General features: G+C 39.0%; 1 annotated feature.

Moving 5' to 3' along the window:
* Positions 221-1,420: an enhancer, noted in NCBI's record as "BRD4-independent group 4 enhancer chr2:6378134-6379333 (GRCh37/hg19 assembly coordinates)". NCBI's record gives its function as "activates an origin of replication core promoter dependent on BRD2, P300/CBP, MED14 and CDK7 cofactors, and independent of BRD4, by STARR-seq in HCT116 cells {active_cell/tissue: HCT116}" and the evidence as "EXISTENCE:reporter gene assay evidence [ECO:0000049][PMID:35650434]".

Genomic DNA, 12,249 nt, shown 5'->3' on the forward strand with positions numbered 1-12,249 from the left:
TATGATCCCCACTTTACAAGATGTGGCTCAGAGAGGATGAGAATTTATCCAACTGGTTCAGTCAAGGTTTATTTTGCTTTCTTTCCTAAAAAAAAAAAATCCTGCAATAGACACTAACTATGGCTGGTTTAAGCAGAAGATAAGCTGATTGAAAGGACATCAGTCCATCACAGAACTGTCAGGTGGCCCAAACCAGCAGTGTCAAGGTTACGCATTAAGAATCAAACCCCTAACCACGCCCCACTACGGGAAGCAGATGCCCACCTCCTGCCCCACAGTGGGCACTACTGGAGCGTATGTAGCAGGACCATGACCTCAAGGGAACTGCTACCTCCACCGCTACAGTGAACAGTGAGACTGTACCTCCACCGCCGCAGTGAACGGTGACGCTGTACCTCCACCGCCGCAGTGAACGGTGACGCTGTACCTCCACCGCCGCAGTGAACGGTGACGCTGTACCTCCACCGCCGCAGTGAACGGTGACGCTGTACCTCCACCCCCGCAGTGAACGGTGACGCTGTACCTCCACCCCCGCAGTGAACGGTGACGCTGTACCTCCACCGCCGCAGTGAACGGTGACGCTGTACCTCCACCGCCGCAGTGAACGGTGACGCTGTACCTCCACCGCCGCAGTGAACGGTGACGCTGTACCTCCACCGCCGCAGTGAACGGTGACGCTGTACCTCCACCGCCGCAGTGAACGGTGACGCTGTACCTCCACCGCCGCAGTGAACGGTGACGCTGTACCTCCACCCCCGCAGTGAACGGTGACGCTGTACCTCCACCGCCGCAGTGAACGGTGACGCTGTACCTCCACCCCCGCAGTGAACGGTGACGCTGTACCTCCACCCCCGCAGTGAACGGTGACGCTGTACCTCCACCCCCGCAGTGAACGGTGACGCTGTACCTCCACCCCCGCAGTGAACGGTGACGCTGTACCTCCACCCCCGCAGTGAACGGTGACGCTGTACCTCCACCCCCGCAGTGAACGGTGACGCTGTACCTCCACCCCCGCAGTGAACGGTGACGCTGTACCTCCACCCCCGCAGTGAACGGTGACGCTGTACCTCCACCCCCGCAGTGAACGGTGACGCTGTACCTCCACCGCTGCAGTGAACGGTGACGCTGTACTTCCACTGCTACAGTGAATAGGGACACTGTGCGCCATCTCAGGGCAGAGGAAAGGGGAGAACCAGTGACCTTCTTCCTCTCTGAGTGTCTGTCTCTCATTGCCACCCATGCAGAAGGGACTCCCTTAAACACAAGGAGAAGTTCCTGATGCTGGATGACAAGGCAATGACAGATACCCAGTAAAACCAAGTCCATGCGGCCTCAATGGGAAGAGCTCATTCTGAAAATGTAGTTCCAATTTCTAATTCAGTCCTCTTTCCACTATACTACTTTGCATAATAAGCAACAGGTGTTGGAATATGACCCTCTTCTCATGACTGTTGTTGTTATCATAAAACAAAACCTTCTACCATTACTTAGTCTTTTATCATTTACAAAGAAATCCCTTTTTAGTGACCTTTATAACCACCCTGAGAGGGAAGCAGGCAAGTAAATAACTCTATTTTCTTTTCTTCTTTATTTTTTCTGATAACAAAATGTCTAAAGAAGCACCTGGTACTTATGTAATCAAAGCACTTCCAATACTGAAACAAAACTTTCTAAAATGGGTCTGATTATTCTACTGGTTTGGGAACTTTACTTAGCTTGATATCACTAATCCCTGGGATAGCCAGGGAAATTTGCTTTGTTCTGCTCTTTGTTTCATGATGTATCTCTACTACATGGAACAATGTCCGTCACAGAGTAAGCACTCAGAAATGTTTTTTAAATAAGGATATGGATAAATGAACTGATGGGCGCTGGATCTGACTGCTAGGAATGTGTGGATTTAGAATTCCCATGTGCAGATTTTTAGTCCAAACCAGATGCTTTTCATCATGACCAGTTTAAGAAGCAGGCAAAATAAAGACTAGACTAATACTTTATACTACTGTCTCTTCAAACTCGGCTACACCACATGTTCATTCTCTTCAGTCTCTAATCATCAACATCCTTGTCCCGAATATTTATTCTCTTTTCACTATTAACCATCTTCTCTCCATCCTTTTCAATTCAAACTTCAGACACACATGATAAATCTACACCCCAGGTTCTCCACAAATGAAAGCAATGTGGCTTCTCCTTCCAGCACATGTCCTGAGCTCTTCTTGCCATGACCACCGATGTCTTCTTTACACCTTCACCAATGAACTATTATCAGTCTTTACCTTATTGAGCTCTTTGCAGTATGTGCTAGCTTCGTAAAAACATTTTCTTCCTTCTTCCCAAAATGTTTCATTCCCTTCTCTGTTTTAACGATTCCCTCTCTGTTTGGGCCATCTTTTGGGTCCTTTGTCACTGCTCTTCTTTACTTATTGGCATTCCTCGGGGTCCAGTATTTTCTTCTGGACTTGTCTCTTGATAGAAAAGATAGTATAGAGCTATGCATGTACACTGTAGTCACTGAGTGCCAGGTGTTGCTCCGACTGCTGCACACATTCAGTACATTTGATCTGCATATTAATTTGAAGACATAAACATTACGAGCACAGATGAAGAAACTGAGCCATAGATAATGATCTTGCTCTTTGTTGCAGAGCTGGTAAGTGGGGATGCCAGAGAGGCTGGTTCTAGAGACAGTGTTTTAAGCCCTATTTTCGGATTAGCTGCCTCTCCCGGGGGAGTGGGGGCTTCAGAGCATTGATGCAGACTTGGTAGGGGGAGGCTCTGGAGCCACATCTGAGTGTCATGGCTGTCATGGCTAAGGAGCATAGCCAGCAGCAGGAGGAGGCGTGTTGTGTTCAGTGCGGAGCACAGAGAAGGCAACGGGGTATGAAGCAATGACAATAGGTGAGAGAAAACAAAAAGATACACTGAATGTGGATGTGAAAAATGGAGCTTAAAGTCAGCCTTCCAGATAATGCAACACTCTGGGACATGGGATGGGCTCAGGAGTGTGTCCTTTATGTGCCCTAAACACTTGGTGCCTATTGCTAATATTGCACTTACTACCTGTGTCATGGTAAATTGTATCAATGTTTGTCTCTGCCATTTTACTACAATCTCTTTAAGGGTAAGTACTATACTGATCAAACCAGAAACCTTAAGTTCTATCAGCATTGATGTTGGCATTGATGCTTCTGTTAAATCAGGCTCACATTGCTGAACTTATATAGGTACAACAGATGCTAGGAAAACAAAGGTATATGTTATATTTATTTAAAAAGTATCACTCAAATAATGCTAGCAAGGGACATAATGCAAATGAAAAATTATGATATAAACATCACAGAATTTAGAGCGGAAGTCACTTTGGGGAGTTTATGGTGTGAATAGAGGAGTATCCAATTGAACCCTTGCCCTCAAACAACTTTGTTCTTGGCCTCTTAGATTCTAGCTATCCAGGTCATTGAAAGCTCCTCCTAGTGCCTGGGAACTTCTTCCCACAGGGACAAGCCTTTTATACAGATGATTCCATCTCATAGAACATGGCCTTGCAGAATGGAGTAACACAGTGTTACTGACATACAGCGTGCTCAGAGCACACAGCACCAATGCCCTCACTTTGCACATGCAGGCGGACGCTCCAGGAAGTGAAGCCATGAACGCAGGTTCACACAGAGAACAGCAGGGGTAGGACTGGACTTCATTTTAATTTGTTTTTCACGACATCTTTGACCATGGACAATGTGCTGGAAGGGGAAGTGGGAGGAAATTTTACTATCCTGGTGTTGACTCTTTTTGAAGAAACGACACTCAGGAAAAGTTTGAGGCCTGAAAGCCTGCAATGAAACATCAAATATTACAGAATATGAATACAAGGATATGGATTGGGGATCCAGAGAGGTGGTTTACATAAAAATTGAGTGACCTTAGATAAGTCTTTCGATTTCCTCGAGCATCAGTTTCTTTGTCTATTAAATAAAGTTAGAACCAGTCTATTCAGGTTGCTATAGCAAAGTAGTTAGGCTGGGTGGCTTACAAACAACAGATAGGTATTCCTCACAATTCTGGAAGTTCATGAACAAGGAAGTCTATTGAGGACTCTCTTCCTGGTTCATTGATGGCTGCCTTCTGCCTGTAATCTTGCATGGCTGAAGGGACAAGAGAGCCGCCTGGGACCTCTTCTATTGGGTCACTAATCTCATTAATGAGGACTCCACCCTCATGACCTAATCACCTTCCCAAAGCCTAATACCATCATCTTGGAAGTTAGGATTTCAACATAGGAGTTTTGGGGGACACAAACATTCAGACCCTACCAGTTAGACAATATATATTGTAGCATGGTGAAAGATAGAGTTGACTCTCTGTATCCACAGTTTCTTCTTCCGTAGATTCAACCAACCGGAGATCAAAAATATTGTAAAAACACAACAAAAAAAGTACAAATAAAAACAATATAGTATAATAACGGTGCATAACATTTACATTATATTAGGTATTATAAGCAATCTAGATTTAAAGTATACAGAAGGATGTGTGTGTGTTACATGCAAACACGGGGCCGTTTTATACAAAGGACCTGAGCTTCCACACACTTTGGTATTTAAAGAGGGGGGTCCTGAAAGCAAGCCACCATGGAGACCAAGAGACAACTGTAGATATAAAATGAGTCACAAACATTTATCACTTGCTTCCTGTAAATATAAGCCATTATCATTAATACAATAAACACAACATTTAGTCACTCAAGGAGAAATACATAATTCACCTCCATATTCTGAACATCATCCATCTCCCTGCCATGCTGGAGAACAGGCCGAGTTATAAAAACCAGCACTGAGAGGATGACTTCTCTTTGAACTTGTTTTAAACACTCTGATTATTTCCCAGGAACATAAGACTGCATGCCATCTCCAAGAAATTTTGGTAACTCCTTGAAATTCAGTTCTAAATTTTCCAAGAAATGAGAGGCTCGTATGAATAATTGGTTTTAACATATAAACTATATCATAGAATAGAAGATGCTACAATTTCACAACTCTCAGGTGGCTTAGAACAAGATAGGAAAGGTTCTCAGGATGTCTATGCCAAAAGTGAAAGGCTGTGAATTCCTCCTAAACTTCCAGAATTCGAGCTTCATGGTCGTGAAGAGATGCTTAAGCGCTACTTTTCTGAAACCTGATCAAAAGTTTAAGAAAAACCTTAGGGAGCAGATTCTTATGTCAATTGTTAGTTTTCCAGAGGACTTGGAGTTCTTTAAACACAGAGACACACTTTGTCATCTTTTCACCTCTACTCAATGCCTGGCCCATAATGAATATGTAATAAGTAGAGGCCAAGTAAAACTTGCTTTGACTGATGCCTTTTTCTTCTTCAACTCTCGAGTGAACATTCAGAATGTAAGTTATTACTACCATCCCCCATGGTGTTCTATTACTGAGGTTTTAATATGTTTGATGTTGCATAGTGAGAGGGGTCTTTGGCCTCATGAATGATATTCGCCCTCCTCCTCGCTTCCTCATTTCTCAATAAGCAAAGCCATTTATTTTCCATGTGTAGAACAAATTTAGAATAAAAATTGTTCCCACTCACTCACACTAAGATGTAGATGACTGATATAAAATCTTAACCTAATAATAAGAGGAAATAAGAGAGGGGGAGAAGCCACGGGGAAATGGCGAGCCATGTGTAATTTGAAGAAAGACACACAAAAAGGAACAGCTGGGGACCCCAGGGACAAACATAAATCACTTCATAATTTTCTTTGAGACAACCTTGAGCATGTCTTTCTACAAAAGACAGAAATGTGAGAGATAAAAATAAGACATTATCACAGATGTACATTTTCCTTCAAGAGCCCCTAAACAGAGTTATTTTCTCTGCAACTGCTTTGAATATTTTATTCTCATTCTCAAGTAAATATTTTTTACTTACGTGTTCAAATCTTCTGATATATAATTCACTCTGTTGAAAATATAACAATAGACATGGAGAGTAGACACAATAAAGCAAGAAGAAATAAAGTGTGATTATATATTTTAAAAAAAAACTTTGAAAAGAATTGTCAGTAATCTCCACAGAACGCACGGTGATGATGGAACGTTCCATGGCTCCACTGTCCATCACGGTACCCTCCAGCCACATGGAGCTACTGATCACAAAATCAGTATTAATCAACTTTATAAATCATCGAAATACTACCATTTGCAACAACATGGATGAATTTTTATTATGCTAAATAGAGTTAGCCAGTCATGGAACAAAAACAATACCGCATGATCTCATTTATATGTGGAAGCTAAAAAGGAAAGTAGATTATGTAAAAACGAATGAAATTGTGGCTACCATAGTCAGCGAAGGGAGGCACAAGGAAAGATGTGGGTCAAAGGGCACAGAATTGCAGCTGTTTAGGATGACTAGGTCTAGCAACCCCATGTATAACCTGCAAATTATATAATAGTTATAATATTGTGTTGCATACTGAAAATTTGCTAAGAAGTAGATTTTAGGTGCTTGAACCTCACACACAAAGTGTGGCTATGTTAGATATTGGATATGTTAACTTACTTGACCATAGTAACCATTTTAATATGTATATCAAAAGATCACACTAGACACCTTAAATATATGCACTGAAAAAGAAAAGTGGCTATTTCAACAGAGGAACTACATGTTTTATTTTAATTAATTTAATATTAAATTTCAATAGCCCTATGTGATCTGCTGCAACTATATTTGTGCAGTGTGAGATTAGAGAGAAAATAAAAAAGTTTTAGAAGATATGCATGAGTGTAGTCTCTGAAGCAGGAAGAGGTTAGGGAATTAACATTCCTGTTATTGAAAGACTCAATGCTATGTTGTTTATACAGCAGGGATCCCCAGTCCCCATGCCATGGACCGATACTAGTCTGTCGCCTGTTAAGAACCAGGGTGCGTGAGCAACAAGAGGTGAACGGAGGGCGAGCAAGTGAAGATTCATCTGTATTTACAGCTTCTCCCCATTGCTTACATTACTGCCTGAGCTCCGTCTCCTGTCAGATCAGCAGAGGCATTAGATTCTCATAGGAGCACAAACCCTATTGTGAACTGCGCATGCGAGGGATCTGGGTTGCATGCTCCTTGTGAGAATCTAATGCCTGATGATCTGTCACTGTCTCCCATTATCCCCAGATGGCATCATCTAATTGCAAGAAAACAAGTTCAGGGCTCCTACTGATTCTTTATTATAGTGAGTTGTATAATTATTTCATCATATATCAATTACAGTATAATAATAATAGAAATAAAGCACACAATGCATTTAATGAACTTGAGTCACCCTGAAGCCAACCCCTCCTCTGTCTCCTGGGCCATGGAGAAATTGTCTTCCACAAAACCAGCCCTTGGTACCAAGAAGGTTAGAGACCACTGTCACAGAGAACAAAACCAGCCTATCCTGAAATATAAGCTAATTAAGTTGCTGAAAATAATTAAAATTACTTTAAGTAGACTGGAAAAATAGCAAGTCACTTATAAAGGAAAACTTACATCAGATTTTGTCATCTACAATTTTTAATGCTGGAAGATGATGTAGAAACAAGAAAAGATTACTTAAGAAAATAATGTGTGGTCCCATAACTTTTACTCAGTTTTATTCTTGTTCAATTAAATGGTGACAAACTACTTTAAATATTTAAGAACAGAGTTATTGTTACCATTAGTTCTTCTCAAGGACCATTAGAGAACAGATTTCAACTAATAAAGTGTTAAAAATGGCTCTGAATATTGAATATTTAACTGTAGGAATAAGAATAAAATAAATTACAGACATTATTGTTACATAACAGAGAACAATTTAGATTCCTTGACAATGTCAAAGGTGAGAAAAAATTATTTAAATCCTTAAAGGCAGAAAGTACAATATAAAATAATGACAGAATTAAAACCATTTATGTTTAGCCAGAGTAATAAGTATTAACAGGCTAAGTGCATCTATTACAAAATACAAAAAAAAAAAACAAACTCCAGATCATATCACTAAGCAAAACTGCACTATTTTCTGCATTTATTAAATACTACCAAAGCAAGTAATTATCAATATTTGAAAGTATAAAAAATAGGGAAACATAAGGAAAATTCAAATAAAATGAAGCAGATTATGTTACTGTCAAATAGCTTTCAATGCAGATGCAAAATATATAATATATAAATCATAAATAAGAATAAATATTTTCTTTATTAAGAGAAGGTTATATAAATCATAAATAAGAATATTTTATTTATTAAGTGAAGTTTACAGTTCCCGATAGAGTATAACACTATGAGTGTTTATGCAACAATACATTCAAAATTAATATTTATTCTGCAAAAATACAGGAGATAAAAAGAGAACTGGAAACACACTAGAAGATGGAGATTTGTATTTATATCAGTTTTTTTGTCAATAAAAATGTGGAAGATCCAAATAAAAGTTAAACCTAACAGATATATCAAAACCTGTGTCCTAAAATAGATAAAATGCTTATTTCAAGTAACATAGACCTTTCACAAAAATTGACACAAATATAGCCACAAACACCACACATATATACACCCTAGTACATGCCAAAGAGTTAAAACGTGTTTCTGTCTCAAATGCTCTGATTACAAAGCATTAAAACCAATAGTTAATGGCCAGTACAAGAGCCAACAATGTACTTGACTCTGGGTGTGGAGAAATACTCCTAAGTCAGAAAGAAATTCCCACTGAATTTGTAAATAGCTGAAATGTAATAATACTAAACACTGTATATTTTAATATCTCTGGGCGACAGATAAAACTATGCCCCATGAAAAATGTATAGCCTTAAAAGCAAACATTTATAAAATTACAATGAATATAAATTAATTCAATATACATTCAATTCAAGATGTAGGCTAATACACACAAAAGGGATAAGCAAAGACAAAAGTAATGCTGAATAAATAAAGAAAAACAGAAAGCCATGAAGCTGGCTGGGCGCGGTGGCTCACACCTGTAATACCAGCACTTTGGGAGGCCAAGGCAGGTGAATCACCTGATATCACGAGTTCAAGACTAGCCTGGCCAACATGGCGAAACTCCAACTCTACTAAAAAAAAAAACAAAAACAAACAAACAAAAAATCCAGGCCATGTAATCCTAGCTGCTGGGGAGGCAGAGGCAGGGAAATCACTTGAACCTGGGAGGTGGGGGTTGCTGTGAGCTGAGATCGCATCACTGCACTCCAGCCTGGGTGACAAAGCGAGACTCCACATCAAAAAAAAAAAAAAAAAAAAAAAAACACGACAACAACAACAAAAAACAAAAAGTAGTAAAGCTTTTAAAACATATTAAAAATTTTCTGTTATGAATTGAATGTTTGTATCCTCCAAAGTTCATATGTTGAAGCCCTAACCCCACAGTGGGATAGCATTAGGAGGTGAGAACTTTGGGAGGTGATGAGGTTTAGATGAAGACACAAGAGCAGAGCCCCTATTATGAGATGAGTGATCTTACTAAAAAAAAAAAAAAGGAAGAGACTGGAGTGTACTCATTCTCTCTCTCTCTCTCTCTCTCTCTCTCTCTCTCTCTGTCTGTCTCTACCACATGAGGACATAGCAGGAAGGTGAGAAGGTGGCCATCTTTAAGCCAGGAGGAGAGCTCTCACCAGAATTCAAATCAGCCAGCACCTTGATCTTGGGCTCCCAGCCTCCAAAACTATGAGAAATAAATGTCTGTTATTTAAGCTACCTAGTCTATGGTATTTTATTGTAAGAGTTTGGTCAGATTAAGACATAGTGCTATCCGCTATCAAACATGTCGTAAAGCTATGATAAATAAATCACTGTTTTAGTGGCATTGGAATTGGCCAAATCAACGTAAAAAGGTAGAAATTTCAGAAATACATTCAAACAAAAGAGTTTAGATGTGACAAGGGTGTCATAGCAAATCACTGGGGAAAATCATATAAATTTCAAATTTACCTTTTTAAAAGGTATTTAAGAAGGAATTATTTAAGAAAAGTTATTTAAGAAAGAATAAAAGTTTCATGTCAATAAGGTAGCAATCTAGGAAAAAATAAATGGACTAAATTCCTATCCCCCAACTTACAATAAATTCCAAATGAATCCAACATTTAAAGGCAAAAGATTCAAACTACAAATATATTTAGAAGAATCCATGGCAGGATTTCGGTATAATAGCATGGTTTAGCAAGTCTTTCTAAGTGTGACACAAAATTTAGAAGCCATGAAAGACTTCATTTCATAAAGAACAATTACTAAGTAAGCAATTAAACAAAGCCAAAGGAAAACAACAAAACTGCAAAAGAAGTAGGAGATAAGTTCCAAAAAGTGAATGTCTTTAATATGTATGGAACTTTTAAAAACTAATAAGAAAAATGTCAACAAATTATAGAAATGCGGACAAAAACATAATAGCTCAAAAAGAAAAACCAAATGGCTTTTACTATGCAAAGAGTTGTTTCAACTGTCATAATAAAAGAAAATCATATTAAAACTACTGAAATGGCATTTCTATCTCTTAAACTGATAAAGAACATGCAGCTTAATGTAATGTGTTTCTTAGGGTGTGAGAAAGTTCTGCAATGCCACACTGAGCTCACGGGAGGCAGCTTGGCATAACCTCTATAGAGAGTAATTTAGTAATTTATATCAATATGAAAATACAATTAACCCCAGCAACTGCACTTTTGGAAACTTCTCCTACGAATATATTTGCACACATATGAAATAAAATATGTGAAATGCCATTTATTGAATCATTTTCCTAACAGCAAAAGATCGTCAGAGTTAGATGCCTGCAGTATGTGCCCACTGAGTATATTATGGTAAATCTACACAATGGAAAACGATGAGGCAACAAAAAGAAAGGCTGAGGAAGCTATTTCTTTCCTAATATTAAATGATGGCCAAGGTCTATCCCTAAGTGAAATAAGCTTAGCTCAAAACAATGTGTATATTATTCTACTCTTTGAATAAAAGTGGGCAAATCTTATATGCTTATTTCTTCAAATATGCATATATCTCAGGGGGTACCCAAGACGTGTCTGAAATAGAGTTCTTTGGGGAAGAAGAAAAATTGAGTGGCCACAGGAGACGAATATGGAAGTAGAGAGAATCTTTATTATCTACAATTGTACATTTTAGGAATTTTGAACTATGTAAACCTATCGATCATATATGTAATAAATTATATATACATAAAATATATAAAGTAATCAACATTGTGAGGTCAAAAAGTATCTATTGGACCATGCTGCTTGTAAAACTGAACAAGGTTTTCATCTCTGAAATGCATAAATTCTTTCATCTATATACAGACAACTACAATAACAAAGAAATAACAACTTTTGAGTATACGTCTGAGCCTGTTGCAGAAAAGTAACACAACGAGAAACTCAGTACAGTTTTAAATGAGAAAAGCCTAGGTCTAGTTTCACCTCCACTACTAATTACTATTTTAATACTTTCCTAAATTAGTTAGCCTTCCTTCAGTGTAGTCAGTGATGATATACAGGGATTCTGAGTTCAAAGTTCTGAGTTCAGATTCTAGGTCTGCCACTCATCAGCAATTACTAAGCCCACTTCCTCATGGGCACAGTAAGGAGAGTGTTATAGCCCAAGAATTTGTTATGACAAATAGGTGAGCACCCTCATTCCAGGGCCAGGAGTAGACGTCCTCTCAACACGCCAACTCCCTCCTGGATGTTCCATGATGAAAGCAGGTAGCATCTTCTCTGTCCATCTGCCCACTGTAATCTGTCATCTCCTTTCCAAGCACAAAAAACAGGACCTACTCTTCATAGGCGCTCAAACATGTATTGATTTGAAATCAAATGAAAGAAAGTATTGTTGAATAAAAAGCTGATACAAAGCAGAGTAGAACAAGGAAGAGCTCTAGAAAGCCAAGGGAAAATCCTAGGAATCTAGAAATAACAGCTGGAAGCTGACGTGAGACAGCTACTTTTCCATCTCCTTCTTTAGGGCAACATGGCATTCTTGTGGCAAACGTCCATGCCAAATGACAGAATTCCCCACTCTAAATTAAAATGACATTGTCTGTCAGTGACTGTGCGGTGCGCATAGGTGAAGGAGCAGGCTGCCTTCTGAGTGGCCTAAATGCACACAACAAGAAACTAAAATTGGAGCAATTTGCTGTAATTTAAAAAGAAGAATGAGTGAATGAATACAGGCACTGCAGAAAATTATAGATTTTATTTGAAGGTAAGATTGTACATCTCTAATCAAGGC

Source organism: Homo sapiens, chromosome 2 (genome assembly GCF_000001405.40).
Source record: "Homo sapiens chromosome 2, GRCh38.p14 Primary Assembly".
In the NCBI taxonomy this organism is placed as follows: Eukaryota; Metazoa; Chordata; class Mammalia; order Primates; family Hominidae; genus Homo; species Homo sapiens.